A 25,733-nucleotide genomic window follows, 5' to 3' on the forward strand; every position below is an offset into this window, starting at 1 on the left:
AGTTAGAGTTAATTTTTTACCTAGTATTTGCCCTTTAGAAATTTTTCCCATTTACTTTTATTGTCTTAATTAGTTTATTTGCCTTTTCTGATTTTTAAAGACTTCTCTTTGATTCTATTTCTATTTGAATTGTATATAACTTTCTTTAAGATAGACATCCTGTTTCAGTCCCATTAGTCTTTTATTCTCTAAATCTAATCATTCTGAAGCTGGTAAAAACCAAGCAATATTTAAGGGTTGAAGCTTAGTAAAATGGATACTATGTTGAACAGAGTCACGTGTTAAGTAGAACTACTAATGGCACAACTACAATAATTCTAGTAATTCTGGTAGGTGCTAATGTGAGCTGAGCGTTTACCACATGCCTGAAACCTGGGCTGAGTGTTTCTTTTTTTTTTTTTTTTAATTATACTTTAAGTTTTAGGGTACATGTGCACAACGTGCAGGTTAGTTACATATGTATACATGTGCCATGTTGGTGTGCTGCACCCATTAACTCATCATTTAACATTAGGTATATCTCCTAATGCTATCGCTCTCCTCTCCCCTCACCCCACAACAGGTCCCGGTGTGTGATGTTCCCCTTCCTGTGTCCATGTGTTCTCATTGTTCAATTCTCACCTATGAGTGACAACATGCGGTGTTTGGTTTTTTGTCCTTGCGATAGTTTGCTGAGAATGATGGTTTCCAGCTTCATCCATGTCCCTACAAAGGACATGAACTCATCATTTTTTATGGCTGCATAGTATTCCATGGTGTATATGTGCCACATTTTCTTAATCCAGTCTATCATTGTTGGACATTTGGCTTGGTGCCAAGTCTTTGCTATTGTGAATAGTGCCACAATAAACATACGTGTGCATGTGTCTTTATAGCAGCATGATTTATAATCCTTTGGGTATATACCCAGTAATTGGATTGCTGGGTCAAATGATATTTCTAGTTCTAGATCCCTGAGGAATCGCCACACTGACTTCCACAAGGGTTGAACTAGTTTACAGTCCCACCAACAATGTAAAAGTGTTCCTATTTCTCCACATCCTCTCCAGCACCTGTTGCTTCCTGACTTTTTAATGATTGCCATTCTAACTGGTGTGAGATGGTATCTCATTGTGGTTTTGATTTGCATTCCTCTGATGGTCAGTGATGGCGAGCATTTTTTCATGTGTCTTTTGGCTGCATAAATGTCTTCTTTTGAGAAATGTCTGTTCATGTCCTTCGCCCACTTTTTGATGGGGTTGTTTGTTTTTTTCTTGTAAATTTGTTTGAGTTCTTTGTAGATTCTGGATATTAGTCCTTTGTCAGATGAGTAGATTGAAAAAATTTTCTCCCATTCTGTCGCCTGTTCTGTTCTCTCCTCTCCTGTTCTGTTCTCTCCTCTCCTGTTCTGTTGCCTGTTGCCTGTTCACTCTGATGGTAGTTTCTTTTGCTGTGCAGAAGCTCTTCAGTTTAATTAGATCCCATTTGTCAATTTTGCCTTTTGTTGCCATTGCTTTTGGTGTTTTAGACATGAAGTCCTTGCCCATGCCTATGTCCTTAATGGTATTGCCTAGGTTTTCTTCTAGGGTTTTTATGGTTTTAGGTCTAACATGTAAGTCTTTAATCCATCTTGAATTAATTTTTGTATAAGGTGTAAGGAAGGGATCCAGTTTCAGCTTTCTACATATGGCTAGCCAGTTTTTCCAGCACTATTTATTAAATAGAGAATTGTTTCCCCATTTCTTGTTTTTGTCAGGTTTGTCAAAGATCAGATAGTTGTAGATATGCAGCATTATTTCCGAGGGCTCTGTTCTGTTCCATTGGTCTATATCTCTGTTTTGGTACCAGTACCATGCTGTTTTGGTTACTGTAGCCTTGTAGTATAGTTTGAAGTCAGGTAGCATGATGCCTACAGCTTTGTTCTTTTGGCTTAGGATTGACTTGGCAATGCAGGCACTTTTTTGGTTCCATATGAACTTTAAAGTAGTTTTTTCCAATTCTGTGAAGAAAGTCATTGGTAGCTTGATGGGGATGGCATTAAATCTATAAATTACCTTGGGCAGTATGGCCATTTTCACGATATTGATTCTTCCTACCCACAAGCATGGAATGTTCTTCCATTTGTTTGTATCCTCTTTTATTTCATTGAGCAGTGGCTTGTAGTTCTCCTTGAAGAGGTCCTTCACATCCCTTGTAAGTTGGATTCCTAGGTATTTTATTCTCTTTCAAGCAATTGTGAATGGGAGTTCACTCATGATTTGGCTCTCTGTTTGTCTGTTATTGGTGTATAAGAGTGCTTGTGATTTTTGCACATTGATTTTGTATCCTGAGACTTAGCTGAAGTTGCCTATCAGCTTAAGGAGATTTTGGGCTGAGACGATGGGGTTTTCTAGATATAAAATCATGTCATCTGCAAACAGGGACAATTTGACTTCCTCTTTTCCTAATTGAATACCCTATATTTCCTTCTCCTGCCTGATTGCCCTGGCCAGAACTTCCAACACTATGTTGAATAGGAGCGGTGAGAGAGGGCATCCCTGTCTTGTGCCAGTTTTCAAAGGGAATGCTTCCAGTTTTTGCCCATTCAGTATGATATTGGCTGTGGGTTTGTCATAGATAGCTCTTATTATTTTGAGATACGTCCCATCAATACCTAATTTATTGAGAGTTTTTAGCATGAAGTGTTGTTGAATTTTGTCAAAGGACTTTTCTGCATCTATTGAGATAATCATATGGTTTTTATCATTGGTTCTGTTTATAAGCTGGATTACATTTATTGATTTGTGTATATTGAACCAGCCTTGCATCCCATGGATGAAGCCCACTTGATCATGGTGGATAAGCTTTTTGATGTGCTGCTGGATTCGGTTTGCCAGTATTTTATTGAGGATTTTTGCATCAGTGTTCATCAGGGATATTGGTCTAAAATTCTCTTTTCTTGTTTTGTCTCTGCCAGGCTTTGGTATCAGGATGATGCTGGCCTCATAAAATGAGTTTGGGAGGATTCCCTCTTTTTCTATTGATTGGAATAGTTTCAGAAGGAATGGTACCAGCTCCTCCTTGTACCTCTGGTAGAATTCGGCTGTGAATCCATCTGGTTCTGGACTTTTTTTGGTTGGTAAGCTATTAATTATTGCCTCAATTTCAGAGCCTGTTATTGGTCTATTCAGAGATTCAACTTCTTCCTAGTTTAATCTTGGGAGGGTGTATGTGTTGAGGAATTTATCCATTTCTTCTAGATTTTCTAGTTTATTTGCATTTGTAGTATTCTCTGATGGTAGTTTGTATTTCTGTGGGATCAGTGGTGGTATCCCCTTTATCATTTTTTATTGCGTCTATTTGATTCTTCTCTGTTTTCTTCTTTATTAGTCTTGCTAGCGGTCTATCAATTTTGTTGATCTTTTCAAAAAACCAGCTTCTGGATTCATTGATTTTTTGAAGGGCTTTTTGTGTCTCTATTTCCTTCAGTTCTGCTCTGATCTTAGTTATTTCTTGCCTTCTGCTAGCTTTTGAATGTATTTGCTCTTGTTTCTCTAGTTCTTTCAATTGTGATGTTAGGGTGTCAATTTTAGCTCTTTCCTGCTTTCTTTTGTGGGCATTTAGTGCTACAAAGTTCCCTCTACACACTGCTTTGAATGTGTCCCAGAGATTCTGGTATGTTGTGTCTTTGTTCTCATTGGTTTCAAAGAACATCTTTATTTCTGCCTTCATTTTCTTATGCACCCAGTAGTCATTCAGGAGCAGGTTGTTCAGTTTCCATGTAGTTGAGTGGTTTTTGAGTGAGTTTCTTAATCCTGAGTTCTAGTTTGATTGCACTGTGGTCTGAGAGACAATTTGTTATAATTTCTGTTATTTTACATTTGCTGAGGAGTGCTTTACTTCCAACTATGTGGTCAATTTTGGAATAAGTGTGGTGTGGTGCTGAAAAGAATGTATATTCTGTTGATTTGGGGTGGAGAGCTCTGTAGATGTCTATTAGGTCTGCTTGGTGCAGAGCTGAATTCAATTCCTGGATATCCTTGTTAATTTTCTGTCTCATTGATCTGTCTGATGTTGACAGTGGGGTGTTAAAGTCTCCCATTATTATTGTGTGGGAGTCTAAGTCTCTTTGTAGGTCTCTGAGGACTTGCTTTATGAATCTGGGTGCTCCTGTGTTGTGTGCATATATATTTAGGATAGTTAGCTCTTCTTGTTGAACTGATCCCTTTACCATTATGTAATGGCCTTCTTTGTCTCTTTTGATCTTTGTTGATTTAAAGTCTGTTTTATCAGAGACTAGGATTGCAACCCCTACCTTTTTTTGTTTTCCATTTGCTTGGTAGATCTTCCTCCATCCTTTTATTTTGAGCCTATGTGTGTCTCTGCACATGAGATAGGTGTCCTGAATACAGCACACTGACGGGTCTTGGCTCTTTATCCAATTTGCCAGTCTGTGTCTTTTAATTGGAGCATTTAGCCCATTTACATTTAAGGTTAATATTGTTATGTGTGAATTTGATCCTGTCATTATGATGTTAGCTGGTTATTTTGCTCATTAGTTGATGCAGTTGCTTCATAGTGTTGATGGTCTTTACAATTTGGCATGTTTTTGCAGTGGCTGGTACCAGTTGTTCCTTTCCATGTTTAGTGCTTCCTTCAGGAGCTCTTTTAGGGCAGGCCTGGTGGTGACAAAATCTCTCAGCGTTTGCTTGTATGTAAAGGATTTTATTTCTCCTTCACTTATGAAGCTTAGTTTGGCTGGATATGAAATTCTGGGTTGAAAATTCTTTTCTTTAAGAACGTTGAATATTGGCCCCCACTCTCTTCTGGCTAGTAGATTTTCTGCTGAGAGATCAGCTGTTAGTCTGATGGGCTTCCCCTTGTGGGTAACCTGACCTTTCTCTCTGGCTGCCCTTAACATTTTTTCCTTCATTTCAACTTTGTTGAATCTGACAATTATGTGTCTTGGAGTTGCTCTTCTCGAGGAGTATCTTTGTGGCATTCTCTGTATTTCCTGAATTTGAATGTTGGCCTGCCTTGCTAGACTGGGGAAGTTCTCCTGGATAATATCCTGCAGAGTGTTTTCCAACTTGGTTCCATTCTCCCCATCACTTTCAGGTACACCAATCAGACGTAGATTTGGTCTTTTCACATAGTCCCATATTTCTTGGAGGCTTTGTTCATTTCTTTTTATTCTTTTTTCTCTAAACTTCTCTTCTCGCTTCATTTCATTCATTTGATCTTCCATCACTGATACCCATTCTTCTAGTTGATCGAATCACCTACTGAGGCTTGTGCATTTGTCATGTAGTTCTCATGCCTTGGTTTTCAGCTCCATCAGGTCCTTTAAGGACTTCTCTGCATTGGTTATTCTAGTTAGCCATTTGTCTAATTTTTTTTCAAGGTTTTTAACTTCTTTGCCATGGGTTCGAACTTCCTCCTTTAGCTCGGAGTAGTTTGATTGTCTGAAGCCTTCTTCTCTCAACTCGTCAAAGTCATTCTCCATCCAGCTTTGTTCCATTGCTGGTGAGGAGCTGCATTCCTTTGGAGGAGGAGAGGTGCTCTGATTTCTAGAGTTTCCAGTTTTTCTGCTCTGTTTTTTCCCCATCTTTGTGGTTTTATCTACCTTTGGTCTTTGATGATGGTGACATACAGATGGGGTTTTGGCGTGGATGTCCTTTCTGTTTGTTAGTTTTCCTTCTAACAGTCAGGACCCTCAGCTGCAGGTCTGTTGGAGTTTGCTGGAGGTCCACTCCAGACTCTGTTTGCCTGGGTATCAGCAGCGGAGGCTGCAGAACAGCGGATATTGGTGAATAGCAGATGTTGCTGCCTGATCATTCCTCTGAAAGTTTTGTCTCAGAGGAGTACCTGGCCATGGGAGGGGTCAGTCTGCCCCTACTGGGGGGTGCTTCCCAGTTAGGCTACTTGGGGGTCAGGGACCCACTTGAGGAGGCAGTCTGTCCGTTCTCAGAACTCAAGCTGCATGCTGGGAGAACCACTACTCTCTTCAAAGCTGTCAGACAGGGACATTTAAGTCTGAGAAGATTCTGCTGCTTTTTGTTTGGCTATGTCCTGCCCCCAGAGGTGGAGTCTACAGAGGCAGGCAGGCCTCCTTGAGCTGCGGTGGTCTCCACCCAGTTCAAGCTTCCCAGCCACTTTGTTTACCTACTCAAGCCTCGGCAATGGTGGGCACCCCTCCCCCAGCCTCGCTGCCTCCTTGCAGCTTGATCTCAGACTGCTGTGCTAGCAATGAGCGGGGTTCCGTGGGCGTAGGACCCTCTGAGCCATGCGCAGGATATAATCTCCTGGTGTGCCGTTTGCTAAGACCATTGCAAAAACGCAGTATTAGGGTAGGAGTGACCTGATTTTCCAGGTGTCATCTGTCACCCCTTTCTTTGACTAGGAAAGGGAATTCCCTGACCTCTTACGCTTCCCAGGTGAGGCGATGCCTCGCCCTGCTTCGGCTCATGGTCAGTGCGCTGCATCCACTGTCCTGCACCCACTTTCCGACACTCCCCAGTGAGATGAACTGGGTACCTCAGTTGGAAATGCAGAAATCACCCATCTTCTGTGTCGCTCATGCTGGGAGCTGTAGACTGGAGCTGTTCCTATTCGGCCATCTTGCTGAGTGTTTCAAAGAATGCCTCAATGACAGTTTGCTAGGCCAAAGGGGTAGCAGGGGATGGAGCTGGAACCTGAACTGCAGGCTGTGTGATTCTGGAGGCCAAATCCCAACTCAGAAGGAAGGTCCTCAGAAATCTTGGAAGGAACAGCCTCTCCCAAAGTGGCCTTCTGTGGCTCCTCCAGGGATGTTCAGAAGGTCTCCTTAGCCAAAGATAACTGGTCCTGGGAAAACACCACTTAAATCCACTTAAAGCAGGACCAAAATTTGACATTCAGTAAAAGAATAATAGGTTTAATTGTGATTTTATCTTGAAAAATAGAGTGAAAATTATGAAAATAAGTTTATCTTACATTTATTAAAATGCACATTATAATTGTAATTATGTATGTGCTAATTTGTAAGATAGAAAAGGAACAAACTGAGTGGTATTAGGGTGGCTTTTGGGTACAACATTCCCGACAAAAGAGTAGGGTAGCTCATCAGGACATCCTTTACTTCACACAGAGTGTTACGTCACAAGCATAAGGAAAGTGTCTCTTTTATTAAAAAAAAAAATAGATGCAAAGGATTCATATATTTCCCTGATGCCTCTCTTAATCCTTTGGCATTAAAATCACTTTCTTTTGCAGTGCCTAAGCATTGGTTTTCCTTTCCATTTATAACTGGAGAAATTGCCAAACTAAACAGGTTAGTAGTTTTACATGTGGTTCGTACAATTTTCCAACATCACTTTTGTCTCCTTCATGAAATCCCACCATCTTTTGCAAGAGGTGTTATTTCACCGTGCAATTCACTTGCATTGCCCTTTCATTGTATTGTGTGGCCTTGTGCTACTGTCTGACAAACAAGGTGGGGCAAACTGTACCAGCCCTGGGTCCTGCAAGAAATAGATGGCATACTCACCCAGACTGCATAATTGAGGAGAGTTTAATAAAGAAAACTTACAAAATGTTGTTGGGCAGGGTTGGGGGAAACAAATAAAGGATGCTGAAGGATATCTGGGTTAGCTTCAGCAGGAAGCCATTACAATCTCCCTCCCCCAACCTACCTGTGATGCAGAGAGTTGTAGCTAGAAGGGAGAGCTGCCTCAAAGGAGCTGTGACTTAGGTCACAGTCATTCATGGTAACCCAGCTGAGAGGGAGCTGAGAGAGCGATTGCCCGGGTTTCACTCTCTTCCTGTCTTCTGGCCTCCTGCCACTGACTCCCACTGGCCAAGCCCTAAGGGATTCCAGAGAGTAAAGGAGTCCCTTGATTACATTGATAAAGTTCAGCTTCCCAGGACAAAAAGTTGGGTAGAAAGGGAGAAATTGGGCCAGGTGCAGTGGCTCATGCCTGTAATCCCAGCACTCTGGGAGGCTGAGGCAGGTGGATCACTTGAGGTCAGGAGTTCAAGACCAGCCTGGCCAACATGGTGAGACCCCGTCTCTATTAAAAATACAAAAATTAGCCTGGCGTGGTGGTGGGTGCCCAACACCAGCTACTCAGGAGGCTGAGGCAGGAAAATTGCTTGAACCCAGGAGGCGGAGGTTGCAGTGAGCCGAGATCATTCCACTGCATTCCAGCCTGGGTGACAGAGTGAGACTCTGTCTCAAAAAAAAAAAAAAAAACAGAAAGGGAGAAATTGGATCAGGAGGGACAAACAAAAATATCTCTTATACCGACGTAAAACATGTGGATTTGTTGACTCAGTAGACTGATGTTAAGTGGAGAGGGAAGTCTGAATGGGAAAAAACTTTACAGGTGGTCAATTTGTTATGGACCTTCTCATTTTATAAGTTGCCCTTGCTACATTACCTCATAACTGTGGTGATTTGGATAATGACTACTAGGCTAATGTAATCTCCTATAGTTTCCCTTCTAAAGGAAGCAGAAGATTTCCCTTCTATTGAGAAGAGAGTAGAAACAGAACCAAGGATAAATTGGACTTCCGTTGGGGGATGGATATATTTGTATACACATACACGCATACAGAAAATTGTCATCTATATTGCATGAGTGAATTTACTGAGTTAGCTAGGAGTGATGGGCATTTTGATCGCTAGAAATGCTTTCTGGCATTTTAAAGCATGAAGACATATTTAAAATTTAAGATTTTAGGCTGGGCATGGTGGCTCACCCTTGTAATCCCAGCACTTTGGGAGGCCAAGGCAGGCGGATCACGAGGTCAGGAGATTGAGACCATCCTGGCTAACATGGTGAAACTGCGTCTCTACTAAAAATACAAAAAATTAGCCAGGTGTGGTGGCGGGTGCCTGTAGTCCCAGCTACTTGGGAGGCTGAGGCAGGAGAATGGCGTGAACCCAGGAGGCGGAGCTTGCAGTGAGCCGAGATCACGCCACTGCACTCCAGCCTGGGTGACAGAGCAAGACTCCATCTCAAAAAATAAAATAAAATAAAATAAAATTTAAGATTTTAAGCCTTAACTTAACCACCAGTTTCATAATATCACCTGATTTACAAGGTTTAATGAGCAAAATGAAAGTTTCAAAAAGGAATTAAGTTGAAAATCTCTCCCTGTTGTATCATACTTTCAACGGCTTAAGAAAAAAAAAGTTAACTTCTGATTCCTTCTGTGAGTCTATCAGAAGATCTGAAATGAATGCCATCTAGAATAATGATCAAAATCTACTTGGTTCTATACATTCAGGGTAATTTCCCTCTTTTTGAACATTCTGCTTGTTAATATGGGACAAATAATGACAAAGGAAGCAGAATGCATCATCCTGATAAAAAGCTTAGTACAGGCTCTGCTTTCAAAGAAAAGCGCTGGTTTGTAGCTGGTGTTTTTCACTTATTTTCAAGATGCTATCTTATTAGTATCCACTCAAATAGGAAACAGACCACTCAGTAGTGTAAAGGATTCTTTTAAATTTATCACCCCTTCAACAAACAGTCACAGGGCCCTCTGGAAGGCTGACCATGACCCACAGCCCAAAGCCCTCATGCATCCCCAGCCTTTCATCTCTGGAGTCTCCTTGTCTCCTCTGGTTGCTCTCTGGGAGCCAGGTCCTGGCATAACTGCACTAGTCCAAGCCAAAAGCCTTAGTATGGGTTGCTCCAGAAGTGGACTCTGAGACAAGGATTCCAGGGTAAATAGCTTCTTTGGGAGGTAACAGAAATACCAGTAGGAGAGTTGGGGAGAGAAACAGGGAAAAGAAAGCAGTCCAAAGTGGGTACTATCAAACACTGTGGCCAACTGGAGCTTAACCTTCTGGGGAAATGACCTGGGAACCAGCGTAGAACACACAGCTCAGCTCAGGGGTGGAGGGCTGGAGTATTTATATTGAGTATTTCAACCAACTCTTATCAGTTGAAGGCTGCTTGCTACAGGCATTAATTCTCTGGCACTTCCAGTCTGCCATAGACAAAGGCAAAGTGGGATTTTGAGGCCATTGAAAACTCTCAGTCAAAGAGATTCAGTTAGTGGCAGTTGGAAGTCAGACTGGCAACTGTTAAGGTAGGTCCGGAGGGCCAGAGGATGGGGCAGGCATCCACAGCATCTGCTCCATCATGGCTCTCTCTAAGTATGCTCTCTTCCTATTACCACCAACTCAGGGAAGCTATTTTCTTGTCTTGGAGTGGGGAGAACTCTACTCTCTCTACTCCATTTTTCTCAAAAACGTTGTGGAGTTTTTAAATTCTCTAAGTTCTTCTAAAGAACTAAGTTTTGGGTTGGGCACGGTCGCTCATGCCAGTAATCCCAGCACTTTGGGAGGCAGAGGCAGGCAGATTACCTAAGGTCAGGAGTTCGAGATCAGCCTGTCCAACATGGTGAAACCCCATCTCCACTAAAAATACAGAAATTAGCCAGGCATGATGGTGCATGCCAGCCTGGGCAACAAGAGTGAAACACTGTAAACAACAACAACAACAACAAAAAAAAACCACACTGTTTTGGAAACACCAAAGCCAGAAATGCACAGGTCTCTTTGACTCTCTATTCTAACATATTGTCACATAAGAAAATGGACACAGAGCAAACAGTCTGTACGATGGATAAAAACAAAGGTGGAAATAATGGGAGGTTTATCTCAGAACTTTATCCTTTCCTAGAATCCACTGTTGTTACTACCAACACGACCATTAGTTATTTTATCACTGTGAGTACATCAGAAAACATTATTATGAAAACACTCATGAATACTAATATTAGCAAGAGTGAACCACTATGGTCAAAAAAATAATATGCAATCTTTGACATTAGGAGCTCATAGTTCAAACTTGTTTTTATTAAAATCCATCAGAGTATTTCTCTTTAAGCTATGATGGAATGACTTGCAGTAGACTAATGCTTCAGCTGAAAGCAAGTAGAAAAGCTGGAGAAAAAACAAGATAAGCTTGTTTGAAGGCATTGGAGAGATGCTGGGATAGATGCCAGGACTTTAGGGGCCAAACTCCTAGAGAAAAGGGAAGTTCATTGAGGAGAACTCAGTAATTTTTATTCTACTCATCCTCTTAGGACATTTGCTGATTCCTGATCCAAAGACAGTAAGGTTAAACTGGGCAAAAAAAAAAAAAAAAAAAAAAAGGATGCCAAGAATCAAATAAGTCTGAAGAACTTTTAATAATCTCAAATAGGAGTGGAAAGGCAAACAGGAACTTAGGGTTGCCAAGGCAGTCAACACTTGAAGGGCCAAGCATTCAAAGAGAAGTGAAGTTCAGAAAAGTGGGCCTAATATGCCACACTAGTTTCTGCATTGAGACATTTGGTGATTCTTAATTTTTGCAATGCAAAAGGCTCAGAAATCTCTGACAAAACAGCTGGAAAATAAAACAGAGGTTTTAGTGGCCTTACATAGCTGGGGAGACAAAAATTGGAGTCTAGTCTTTCCAAGCTCTAGTAAACGCCCTAGATCTCTGTTTAGAGTCTTGGGTATATACTAAATGTAGATTTGAATGAGAGACAGATTCAGTCTTACAAAGGCTGCAACATAGCTTTGAGCCAGGGATTTAAGTAAACTGCCCATATTTGAGTTGTCTGGCAGAGAATAGGATTAATCCTCTCTGAAGGAAGATAAATCATTCTCAGACTTTTCAATTTTTGTGTATAATATTTGCCTCTTAATTAAAGTATCAGGTATATATGACACAAAGTTAATAGAAACAGGCAGTAAAAATAGACCCAAAAATGATCAAGATATTTCAGTTATTAGACACAGATATTCATATATCCTTTTTTTGAAAGAAGATGGCAAGATAAAGGATTTCTTTTTTGTTGTTGTTGTTTTTTGAGATGGAGTTTCACTCTGTCACCAGGCTGGAGTGCAGTGGTGTGATCTTAGCTCACTGCAACCTCCGCCTCCCAGGTTCAAGTGATTCTTCTGCCTCAGCCCCCCAAGTAGCTGGGATTACAGGCATGCACCACCATGCCCAGCTAATTTTTATGTTTTTAGTAGAGACGGGGTTTCACCATGTTGGCCAGGCTGGTCTTGACCTCCTGACCTCAGGTGATCCACCCACGTTGGCCTCCCAAAGTGTTGGGATTACGGGCATGAGCCACCGCACCCAGCCAAGATAAAGAATTTCAACAGAAAACTCTAATATATTAAAGTATTATGAACATTCTAGAAATTAAAAATACATCTAAAATTAAGACCTAATGAACACAACAGATGGAAAACAGCTAAGGAGAGGACTAGTATATTTGCAAGTCAGTAGAAAATTTTCACATTGACACAAAGATTAAAAAAAGAACAGGAAATATTTTTAAAATGTTAACAACATATGGATTAGAATGAAATGGATTAGAATGAAAAAGTCTAAAAATATGTACCTAGAATTTCAGGAGGAGATAGATTGATTGGGATACAGAAATAATATTTAAAAAGATAATATCTGAGAGTTTTCCAGAACTGATGAAAGACATGACACCACAGCTTCAAGGATCATTCTTACTCTAAAACACTATAAACAAAGATGGAAAAAAAAACCCCACATACCTAGGTACATTATAGTAAAATGAAGAATCTTAGAGACAAAAAATCTTAAAAGCAGAAAAAAAAAGACAGAGCAGCACTTTCAAATGAGTAACAAACAAATGATAAGGCTAACAGCTGACTTCCCAACAGAACTTCAGACACCTGAAGACAATGGAAAGATGTCTTTAGGCATTGAAAAGAAGTGATAGCCAAACTAGGAATTTATATTCAAAGAGATGCTTTTTTAAAATTAAGAAAAAATAAAAATACTTTTGAACAAACACTGAGAATGTATCACCATGGGTACCCACACAAGAAACACTACATTGGGCTTTTAAGGCAGGAGGAAAATGATCCCAGACTGAAGTACAAAAATGAATGGAGAATAAAGGAGAGACACACATGCACAGATGAATAATACATTAAGAAGAAGAACAACAACTTATGTATCCTAAAATGTATGCACATTTAAAGTTCATGACAAGCATATCACAAAAAGCAGAAAAGGAATAGAGTTAAAAGTCCTAGCCTGGGAACTGGTAAGAGAATTAATTTATATTGAACCTTAAAAAGTAAAAAGCACAGGTGGTAGTCTCTAGGGTAGCCATTTAAAAAATAGTAGAAAAAAACTAAGAGGAAATACATAAAAATTGTAGAATAATAATAGATTTTTAGTTATGTAAAAGAAGTTTTTTTTTTAAAGGCTAGATAAAAGGTGTATATAACAGGGAGAATGGCAGCTACCCAAACAAATTACTGATTACGTTAAGACAAAATGGCCTATTTAAAATACAAAGACTTGGCCACTTGGCTGGGCATGGTGGCTCACATATGTAATCCCAGCACTTTGGGAGGCTGAGGTGGGCAGATCACCTGAGGTCAGGAGTTTGAGACCAGGCTGACCAACATGGCGAAACCCTGTCTTTACTAAAAATACAAAAATTAGCTGGGCCTGGTGGCACGTGCCTGTAATCCCAGCTACTCAGGAGGCTGAGGCAGGAGAATCACTTGAACCTGGCAGGCAGAGGTTGCAGTGAGCTGAGATCGTGCCATTCCACTCCAGCCTGGGCAACAAGAGTGAAACTCCATCACAGGAAAACAAACAAACAAAAATACTAAGACTTAGGCTAGATGAAAACAAAACAAAACAAAACAAAACCCAAACCCAATTATATATGGCTAACAAGAGACACAGCTAAACAAATGACAAAATAGAAAGGTTGACATTTAAAGGATAAAGTGAACTGTGCCTTGCAAACACTAAGGAGAAGAAAGCTGATATAACTGTACTAATCTACCAACTACTAGTCAACTGACAAGGTAGACTTTAAGGCAAGAAACATCTCCAGAGTTAAGGAGAGGCTTTTTTTAATAATAAAAAGGTTCAGCCGGGCGCGGTGGCTCACGCCTGTAATCCCAGCACTTTGGGAGGCCGAGGCGGGTGGATCATGAGGTCAGGAGATCGAGACCATCCTGGCTAACAAGGTGAAACCCCGTCTCTACTAAAAATACAAAAAATTAGCCAGGCGCGGTGGCGGGCGCCGGTAGTCCCAGCTACTCGGGAGGCTGAGGCAGGAGAATGGCGTGAACCCGGGAAGCGGAGCTTGCAGTGAGCCGAGATTGCGCCACTGCAGTCCGCAGTCCGGCCTGGGCGACAGAGCGAGACTCCGTCTCAAAAAAAAAAAAAAAAAAAAAAAAAAAAAATAATAATAATAAAAAGGTTCAAGCCTCAAGAAGCATATGAAAATTAATAAAAGGTTCAGGCCTCAAGAAGCATATGTATTTACTTAATTACATGGTTACAAACTATATAAAGCAAAACTGAAAGAAATAAACCAATCCACAACCTTACTGGGACATTTTAGCTGAATTTCTAATTAACTGACAGAACAAGGTAAAAAAAATTCAGTAAGGGCATAAAAGACTTGACTTGCATAATATCACTAAGAAATTTGACCTGACATATAGAAAACTCCACCCCAAAACGCAGTGTTTTCAAATCTACATTGCATATTTACCTAAGTTGAACATTTTGTGGTCCATAACACAAGCAGTGAAATCATTCAGATCATCTTAACTAAAAGTGAAATTAGACCATAAATCAGTGACAAAATATAACCAGCAAATCCCCAAATTCTTGGAAATTATGTAATACATTTCTAAACAAATCATGGGTCAAAGAAGAAATCAGAATGAAAATTAGAAAATATTTTGAAATGAGTGATAAGAGGCTCTGTTTTCAGCAATGGTGGAGGAGCCTGTATTAGATTAACTCACTCACAAATAAAAACCGTAAGCTCTGGGGAAAATACTAACAATCTCTGAACAACAGCAGCAATGAAACCAAATGACTGTTTGTAAATTAGTCATGTCATAATACAAGTGCTTAAAACCAGTAAAAGAAAAAAATTATAAAAGCTTCAGACAAGAAAGACAAATTATGCACACAGGAAGATTCCAGCAGATCTCTTGATGGAAACAATGCCAATTAGAAGACAGTGGAGCAAAATATTTAAAGTACTGAAAGAAAAAAATCTGTCAACAAATTCTTTATTCAGCAAAAATGAAGACATTTTCAGGCATACAAAAGCTGGAGGAATTTGTCACAATCAAACTTGCACTTCAATAAATGTAAAAGGAAATTCCTCAAGCTGAAGGAAAATGATACAAGATGGAAGTCTGAATCCACACAACGGAATAGGGAGCAGCAGTAATGGCAATTATATGGGTAAAAACAAAACTTTTTCTTACTATTTGAATTTCTGCAAAGGTAATTTCTGGGTAAAAGAAAAATAATAATGTACTTTGAGGTTTATAATACGCAATAATCCCCTCCTTATTCATGAGTGATATGTCAAGACCCCCAGTGATTGTCCAAAACCACAGATAGTACTGAATCCTAAATACATTGTAAACAAATTCCTTTTTCCTTCTTTGCAATTTCATGGATAGAAGATTCATTCTTACTGGAGGCCTTAGCAACCTCAGCGTGCCATTTTTTCTTTCCTGATTGTCAATAGCTTTCACCGCTTCACTTAAAGGAAGCACTTTACAGCTTCCTTGCCATATCTGAATTGCCATCATCACCACTCTTGTGCTTTGGGGGCATTATTAAATTAAATAAGAGTGACCCGAACACAAGCACTGTGACTCCATGACAGTCAAGCTGATAACCAAGACGTCTACTAAGTGACTAATGGCTGGGTAGCATATACAGCATGGATACACTGGAAAAAGGGATGATTTATGTCCTGGGTGGGACAGAGCAGGACGGTGTGAGATTTCATCTTGCTACTCAGAAAAGCATACAATTTAAAATATATAAACCGTTTATTTCTGGAATTTTCCATTTAACATTTTTGGACCATGGTTGACCATGGGTAATGGAAACTGTGGAAAGCAAAACCACAGATAAGTGGGGACACCTGCATATAGAAGAAAAAGGCATGACGGCAATAGCACAAAGGCCAGGAGGGGATAAATGGATATAATCTATTGTAATGTTATTAAACTATATGTATAGTGCTTTATAATACCATTTGAAGATAGATAATGATAAGTAAAATGTGTATACCATAAATCCTAAAGTGACCATTAAAATAACAAAACAGTTATAGCTAACAATAAAAGAGATAAAATTAAATCACAAAATACACTCAATCCAAAAGAAGGCAGAAAAAGAAGGAAAGAGAACACACAATAGGTGAACAAATAGAAAAAAAATAGCAAGATGATGGGATGAAACCAATTGTATCAAAAAGCACATGAAATGATCCACTACCTCAATTTAAAGGCACAGATTCGCAGATGGGATAACAAAATCAAGACCCAAGTATGTGCTGCCTAGAAGAAATGTAAGAGAAATGTAAAGACACAAATAGGTTAAAAGTAAAAGAATGGAAAAAGAAATACCACAGTAACACCAATCAAAAGAAAGCTTGAATGGGTATATTAGTATCAGGTGAAGTCAATTTCCTTGGAAAAGGACAAAGAGGGTCATCTATAATAATAAAAAGATCAGTTCATCAAGAAAACTTACAATTCTAACATTTATATATCTAAAACAGGTCTTCAAAATATATGAATCAAAAATGGGAGGAACTGTGAGGAGAAATAGAGAAATACACAATTATAATATATTTCACCATCCATGTCTCCATGACTGAGAGAACAAGTATACAGAGAATCGGTGGATAAAGAAGATGATCAACCCTATCAATGTATGTGAAATAATTGACATTTATAGAACACTCCACTCTATAACAGCACATAGAAATAGACCAAAACAGACCATATTTTGGGTGCACTTAGAAATAGACCAAAACAGGCCCTATTTTGGGCCATAAAACTATTCTCAATAATTTAAAAAGGGATCAAGTCATACAAAGTCATTGCTCTCTACAATGGCATTAAATCACAAGTAAATGACAAAAATCCATAGAAAATCCTCAGATATTTTGACACTAGATAACAGACTTCTAAATAACCTATGGATCTAAGAAAGACAATCAAAAAGGAAATTAGAAAGTATTTTGCACTGAATGAAAATGAAAACACAACCTACCAAAATCTATGAGATGCAGCTAAAATTATATTTAAAAGGAAATTTATAGCACTAAATGCCTATTCTAGAAAAGAAAAAAAATTCAAATCCAAGACCAAACATTAAAAAGCTAAAATAAGAGGAGCTAATGAAACCTAAAGTAAGCAGTAAGAAAGAAAATAATAAAGATCAAATCAGAAATTCATACAGTAGAAAACAGAAAACAATAGTGAAATATCAATGAAACAAAAAACTGGTTCTTTGAGATTAATAAAACTGATGAACATCTAGTCAAATGGCTTTCCTGTGATTTTTGCTGAACATTAGTTTCCAGGTTACTATCTTTTATTGACAGTATGTGTGTTACATACGTTGCTTTTTTTTCTCACTCTATTGCCCCCATTCTTATCCATATTATCAAGATTTTTATTGAAGTAGCTTAACTAGTTTATTTTACAGCTGGTAAATTTCCATTGATAGAATCCACTGACCTTATTCAAATTTCATAGGTTTTACAAGCCCTCGTGTGTGTGTTGTGTGTGTGTGTGTGTTTAGTTCTTTATATGTGTGTGAATTTCTGTGACCACTACCATAAGCCAAATACAGAACAGTTCAGTTGCAAATAGCCCTTATACTACCTTCACATATCGAGAGCCACCTCCTTTTTACTATCTCCTGCTTCATCTCCAATCCTTGGCATCAACTACTTTCTTTTACTCCATAACTTTATCATTTTAATAAAATTGGATAAATGGAATTAAACAGAGATTGGATTTTCTCACTCAGCATAATTTTCTGGAGACCCATCCAAGTTGTTGCACAGAATAATAATGAACCATTATTAATGCTTCATTCCTATGTATTGTTCCATAGAATCCTATGGAATAGATGAACCACAGTTTGTTTAAACCTTACCTGTTGGAGGACACTTGGGTTGTTTCCATTTTTTGACTATTACTAATAAAGCTGCTGCAAACACTTCTGTACAGATTTTTGTGTGGACGTACGTTTTCATTTCTCTGCGATAAATGCCCAAGCATGCAATTTCTGGGCTGTAAAGCAGTGACATGTTTAGTTCTATAAGAAACTGCCAAACTAAATTAACACAAAATGAATCATACACCTACATGTAAAACCTAAAACCCATACATTTCTAGAGAAAAACAAAATAAAGATATTCATGAACTTAGGTTAGGTATCATATTAGATACAATATCAAAATCAGGATACACACCAAAAAATTGATAAATTGTATGTCATCAAAGTTGAAAAGTTTCATTTTTCAAAATATATTTTTAAGACAATGAAAAGTGAACCACAGACTGGGAAAAAATATTTGCAAGTCCTATTTCTCATTAAAGACCTGAATCTGGAATATATAAAGAACTCTTAAAACTTAGTAATAAGAAAACAAACAACCCAATATAAAATGGGCAAAGATTTGAACTGACACTTCACCCAAGATGACACACAGATGCCAAGTAAGCACGTGAAAGATGCACAATACTATTAATATGAGAAATGCAAATTAAAACCACCATGAGATATTACTACACATAGATTAGAATGTCTAAGATTAAAATGTCCAAATGTACCAAGTGTTGGAGATGATGTGGAGCAACCGCGATTCTCATACATTGCTGGTGGGAATGTAAATGGCACAACTATTTTGAAAAACAGTTTGGCAGATTTTTAGAAAGTTAAACACATACCTACCATATGGCCTAGCCATTCTACTCCTAGATAGACTAGACAAGAAAAGAAAACGTATGTCCACGCCAAGATTGTATGCAAATCTTTTTAGCAGGCTTATTTGCAATAGCCTCAAATGAGAAACCAACACACATCAAGAGGTGATTGGTTAAATGAATTGCAGTGTGTCCATACAGTGGAAGTATTGCCCAGCCAAAAAAAAATAAAAAAGAATTATCAATACAAAGCACGATGCAAATGAATCTCAAAATAGTTATGCTGAGTGAAAGAAGACTGACAAAATGAACAGACTTATGATTTTGCCTCTATTAAATTTAAAGAAAAGGCAAATAATAGAAAGTGTCATCAAGCTGAGGGATGAGGCATGGGGAGGGCAGTGGGAGGTACCACAAAGGAGCACAAGCAGTCTTGTGGGAATGCTGGAGCTTTCCATTATCTTGATTGTGGTGATTGGTAATGGTCTCACGGGTGTATACATATGTTAAAACTTATCAAATTATTTACTTTAGGTATGTGTGCATTCTCATCTGTCAATTCACTTCAGTAAACCTGTTAATAAATTTAAATACAGTTTTTCTACAAAGATATCTTTTGTCCTAGAGGTAGTCACTGGTGAATTCTTCTGAACTTAAGGAAGAAATAATACCATTCTTACACAAACTCTTTTAGAGAACACATGAAAAGAAAATACTTTCCAACATGTTCTATAAACCCAGCATATTCTTGATAGCAAAACCAGACACAAGAAGACAATACAAAAAAAGTCAGCTAATCTCTCTTCTGATGCAAAATCCTAAAGAAAATATTAACAAACTGTATCCTGCAATTTATGAAGAGTATAACATATCACAAGGAATTGGTTTTTTTCAGTAATGCAATGTTAGTGTAACATCTGAAAAAATAGTTCAATGTAATTCATGTTATGGATGTAATTTCATAATAGATGTGAAAAATCATATTATTTCAACAGATTTATAAAAAGCATTTGATTAAATTCAAGACTGATTTATTTACTTTAAAAAACACCAAACTAGATATAAAAGGGAACGCCCTTAGAATGACAAAATATTTACAAATAGTCTACAAGAAACATTTTACTTAATGTTTCTTATAGAAACATTATAGAAAAGCTAGTGAAAGCTTTTATCCCTGTGATTAGGCATGAAACAAAGGTGTTCACTCTCACTGCTTCTTTTTTTCTTTTTTTTGAGACAGAGTCTCTTTCTGTCGCTCAGGCTGGAGTGCAGTGGTGCGATCTCGGCTCACTACAACCTCTGCCTCCCAGGTTCAAGCGATTCTCCTGCCTCAGCCTCCCGAGTAGCTGGGATTACAGGTACCCGCCACCACACCTAGCTAAATTTTGTGTTTTTTAGTAGAGACGGGGTTTCACCATGTTGGCCAGGCTGGTCTCAAACTCCTGACCTCAAGTCATCCAGTCACCTTGGCCTCCCAAAGTGCCAGGATTAGAGGGATGAGCCACCGTACCTGGCCTTGCTCTCACTGCTTCTGTTCACTATTATACTATATAATATGGCCAGTACAAGAAGGTTAGAAAAAAATTACAAGAATTGACAGGAAATAATAAAACTGTTATTCTTCACAGCAGCATGATTGTTTATGTAGGAAAGATTCCACAAACACTCAGAATTAATAATAAATGTAGTGAGAACACAGAAAACAGAGTCAAAATACAGCAATCAATTGTATTTCTACATATGAGGAACAATCACAAAATAAAAATTTAATAAGATACAATTTAAAAAAATCAACAAACGTCATATAACTAGGAATAAACTTAATGAAAGTTATGTAATTCTTCTGCACTGAAAATTACAAGATAGTATACAGAGAAATTAAAGGAGACCTAAATAAATGGAGGATATACCATATTTATTTTTTATCCTATAAAAATCTCATTTCTCCTCAAATTGACCTATTGATTCAGTAAGTTTATATGGGAATGCAAAGGGCCAAGAAGAGTCAAGACAACCTTGAAGAATAAGAAGAAAGATGAAGATCTTATCTAACCACAGAGTAATTCCTTATTTATTTATTTATTTATTTTTGAGACAGGGTCTTGCTCTGTTACACAGGCTGGAGTGCAGTGGCATGATCATGGCTTACTGCAACCTCCACCTCCTGGGCTCAAATGTCCACAGGGGCCACAGGCGTCCACCCCTGCGCCCGGCTAATTTTTGTATTCTTAGTAGAGACAGGGTTTTGCCATGTTGGCCAGGCTGGTCTCAAACTCCTGGCCTCAAGTGATCTGCCCACCTTGGCCTCCTAAAGTGGTGGGATTACAGGCGTGAGCCACTGTGCCTGGCCATACCCACAGTGTAATTTCTATGGAAACAATGGAGAGTCCAGAAACAGACTGGCATGTACATTGTCACTGATTTATGACAAGGGTGACACTGCAGCACAGTGGGGGCATTTTTTCCAAAGGCAGTGCTGGGCCAATTGGATACCCATAAGGGACAAAAATCTTGACATCTGCGTCACACCATACAAAGTTACCAATTCCAGGTGACTTGCAAATCTACCTGTGAAGGGTAAACCATAAAACTTCCAGAAGAAAACATTGGAGAATATCTTTGTGACACAGGGTTAAGCAAAGATTTATTAAATAGGATACAAAAAGCATTGACTATGAGGGAAAATTGATAAATTAGACTATGTTAAAATTAAGAATTTCTGTTCCTCAAAAGAATAGAATGCTAGGGAGTTAAGGTGCAAATCATTGAATAGATCAAAGTATTTGCAATTCATATCTAACAGAGAATTTGATAAAGAAATTATACCAATAAATGAAGAAAATGCAGACAAACCTTGGACAAGACATGCAAGCAGCTATATCACAAAGGGAAGACAAATGTTCAATATTAATATGAAAGCGTTTCACATCATGAGACATCAGATGAATACAAACCAAAATCACAAGGAGATACTACTGCATATACACCAAAATGATTAAAATAAAAAAGACAGACAATACCAAGTGTTGATAAAGATGTGGAACAACTGGAACTCCCAATCACTATTGATGAGTGTGTAGATTTATACAACTCTTTGACAGTAAAATCTACTAATGCTGAATATCTGCATAACTTATGCCCCTGGGTATATCCCCAACAGAAATGTGTACACACACTCCAAAATGCACATGCAAGAATATTTATAGCAGCATTACTGATGGACGCTGAAACGAAAAACAGCCCAAACGTTCTTCAGCATCAATACATGAATCAATAAATTGTGGTATAGTCCTACAACAGAATACTCTACAGTAGGGATCAGCAGACTTTTTTGTCAAGAGCCAGAAAATAAACATCTTCAGTTTTGCAGATAACAGATTGCCTCTGTTGCATATTCTTCATTTTTTTTACAATCCTTTACAAAATAAATGTCATTGTTAGCTTGCGACTCATACAACAATAGGCCATGGTGGGCTGTAGTCTGCCGTTCCCTGCCTTAGATCAATAGCAATGAACGTATTACTGCTACATGCAATAATGCAAATAAATGTCACAAACAGAATTTTGCCTAAGAGAACCCATTCACAAGAGAGTGCATACTTATAATTCCAGGCAAAACTGATGATGGTAGAGGACTTGACAGCAGTCACCTTTGGGGATAATGGTAGTGATGAAAGAGGGCACATAGAGAGCATCTGAGGTGCTGGCAGCATTGTTTCCTGATCTGGGTGATCATCATATATGTATGCATTTAGTGAAAACTTAGTTATACACATATGATTTGTATAATTTTCTAAATGCATATTATACTTCCATAATAATTTTACTTAAAAACTCTATAAAATCACCAATGTTCAGTTTCCTCTGCAATTTTTAGTTGCCAGTAAAGTTAGCCAATTCTTAACTGCCACTGTATGCCAGTTTCTTTTTAGCTGTCCTAATCAGTAAAACCTTAGCCCACCAAAATACCTAGCACCATCTAAAATGTTTGCCAGTGGCCCAGAAGAATGTGTTTGTGGCTCATAGTCAATAGACTGTTGTTAAATAAAAGCAAAATTATTGGCTTTCCTTGTCATGAGAAGGGGGAGAGAGATCGAGAAAGAGAGAGAAAGAAAGAGGAAGCAAGACAGAGTTGGAAAGCAACGAGAGCATTGCCCTTGAGGACAATGGCCCCAGCATCTGGCCTGCGGTCCTTCTGCTGGATCACAACACTTCTATTTTCAGTAGAAAAGAATTAAGAGCACTCTTTCATTAGAAACAAAAAGCCTAGCTGAACATATTTTTCTCATTTGTACTTTATCCTAAACATTTGTAAAGATTTAGCAGCTCACTCCAGCAAGCCTTTTTAATCCACATTCCAGTAATAGAGATTACAGAAATGCTTTCTCAAGGACATTCTTGTGTCCAGGCTTCAACAGAGCCAAGATACTTCATCCTCTTAGGGCGCCTGGTGAAACCTCGAGATCGTGACCCACAGGACAGACAAGAAGATGATTCTCTGAGCCTGGCGTTCTCAGACCAGCATTCTGTCAGGATGGGATTGGAGGGCAAACCCCAGGGTGTGGGCATGAACAGTGGCTCATGCCTGTAATCCCAGCACTTTAGGAGGCCGAGGTGGGCAGATCACCTGTGGTCAGGAGTTCGAGACCAGCCTGGCCAACATGGCGAAACTCAGTCTCTACTAAAAATACAGAAATTAGCTGGGCATGGTGGTGCATGCCTGTAGTCCCAGCTACTCAGGAGGCTGAGGCAGGAGAATCACTTGAACCCAGGAGGCAGAGGTTGCAGTGAGCCGAGATCGAGCCACTGCACTCCAGCCTCAGCAACAGAGTAAGAGACTGTCTCAAAAAAAAAAAAAAAAAGAAAAAGAAAAAAGAAAAAAAGAAAAAAAAGAAAAAGAAAAGAAAAGAAAAAAGAAAAAGAAAGTGGTCAATGCTAGGAAATGCTGCTGTGTCTGAACTCTGGGTGGAAAAAGTAATGGATCCTGACTTTTCTTTCAATAGTAGTTGAGCTGGATATGCAGTAGGATTCAGCATCTTGAAAAAATGTGGCTTTAAAAGCCGAGGAAGGGAAAAAGTATAGGGTATTAACTGGGGGCATGGCATCCAGGGGCTTGTGATCCAGGATGGACAGGAGAGTGTTTAAAACTATCAGAATGGAGAGAAAGGCCAGAGTGTCGGAAGTGTGTGGGTAGGCAGCAACAGGAGGAAGAGAAAATGCAAGTCCAATGTGGAAAGAGAAAAATACAGAGAAAATGAAGTGAAAGGATAGAAAGCAGGTAAAAAGACATCAGGGAAGCTCCCAGGGCTAGCACACCTTGCCTGCTTTCGCCTCCTGGCCCAAGGAGCAGCAAGTGATGGGATAACTCAACTACTGATGACTAGCCCCCGAGGACAGAGTAGCTCTCCTTGACCAAGAGATCTGAGCCCCTCCCTACACCTTATTACCCTATGCCTGTGAATGGAAGAACTCTGGAGGCAGAAAGGGGAGAAGTAAGAATAATAACATGTAAGAGTTCCAGAGAAACTAAGACATGGATATTATATAGCCTGCCCGAGGCTTCTCAATCAGTAGAGGTGTAGCTGGGATTTTAGGTCCTCATATTCCAAAACAAAAACTCCGCCTCCTGGGTTCACGCCATTCTCCTGCCTCAGCCTCTCGAGTAGCTGGGACTACAGGCGCCTGCCACCATGCCCAGCTAATATTTTTGTATTTTTAGTAGAGACGGGGTTTCACTGTGTTAGCCAGCATGGTCTCAATCTCTTGACCTCGTGATCTGCCCAATTTGGCCTCCCAAGGTGCTGGGATTACAGGCGTGAGCCACCACGCCCGGCCGGTAAACATGAGTTTTGAAGGGACATTATCCAACCCAGTGCAGGCATAATAGTCATTATAAATCATGTGGGTTCAGATGACTGCTTTTGATAGCCCAATGGAGTTAACATAGGGAAAACACAAAAGAAAACCCAGAATTCTTGGACAATCAGAAAACCTCTATGGAAGCACTGAGTGAGTCCCTTACATCGTATAGCTGCAGGGGAGCTACAGACCAAGGCCAGGGTGAGGTTGTAACAACTGCAGTGTTGCTGTATCCATTAATTGCTCAACCCTACTAGGTCTCTTATGCTGTTTCTTGTATCACTGCATTAGGACACTGTAGAGAATAAGACGCACCCTAAGAAATGAAATGGGGACATTTGGGCAGACAATCGAGGAGAGTTTTGAACTACCAAATCCCCCTTAATCCCTTGAGGCAGAAAGCAGACATTTGCCCTTCCCCAAACACCTTCCCTCCAGCCTTTCAGTAACTGCACTTGGCAGTTGTAGCAGAAGACCCACTGCCACCACCCTCATTGCCTCTGGGCCCTAAAGACAGCTCCATCCCATTGCCGGCCAGATGGAGATGTGTCAGGACTGCTCTGTGAGGTGATAACCCACACACTTACAGGGTCTCAGAACTTTGCTGAGTTTTATCAGCAAGGATCTAGGAAGCATGTATGGAAGTGAATTCTCTGGACATAAAGCCAAGGAAGAAAAATCTAAAACAAGATTGGGACAAATTAATTAATATAGATGTACTTGCTCAGGCTTTGGGATTTAAAATACTGGTCTAGGCCAGGTGCTGCGGCTCACGCCTGTAATCCCAGCAGTTTAGGTGGCCGAGGCAGGCAGATCCCCCGAGGTCAGGAGTTTGAGATCAGCCTGGCCAACATGGCGAAACCCCGTCTCTACTAAAAATACAAAAATTAGCCTGGCGTGGTCTCATACACCCGTAATCCCGGCTACTCGCGAGGCTGAGGCAGGAGAATCACTTGAACCCAGGAGGCGGAGGTTGCAGTGAGCCGGGATTGCGCCCCTGCACTCCAGCCTGGGTGACAGAGTGAGACTCTGTCTCAAAAAAAAAATTAATTAATAAAATAAAATACTGGTCTTGTGCACTTGACGCTGGCATTAGTAGTTGGTTAGGATTCATGGAGGTCTGGACTCAAATGGTGGCCTA

The sequence above is a fragment of the Homo sapiens genome, chromosome 2 (genome assembly GCF_000001405.40).
Source record: "Homo sapiens chromosome 2, GRCh38.p14 Primary Assembly".
NCBI classification, from domain to species: Eukaryota; Metazoa; Chordata; class Mammalia; order Primates; family Hominidae; genus Homo; species Homo sapiens.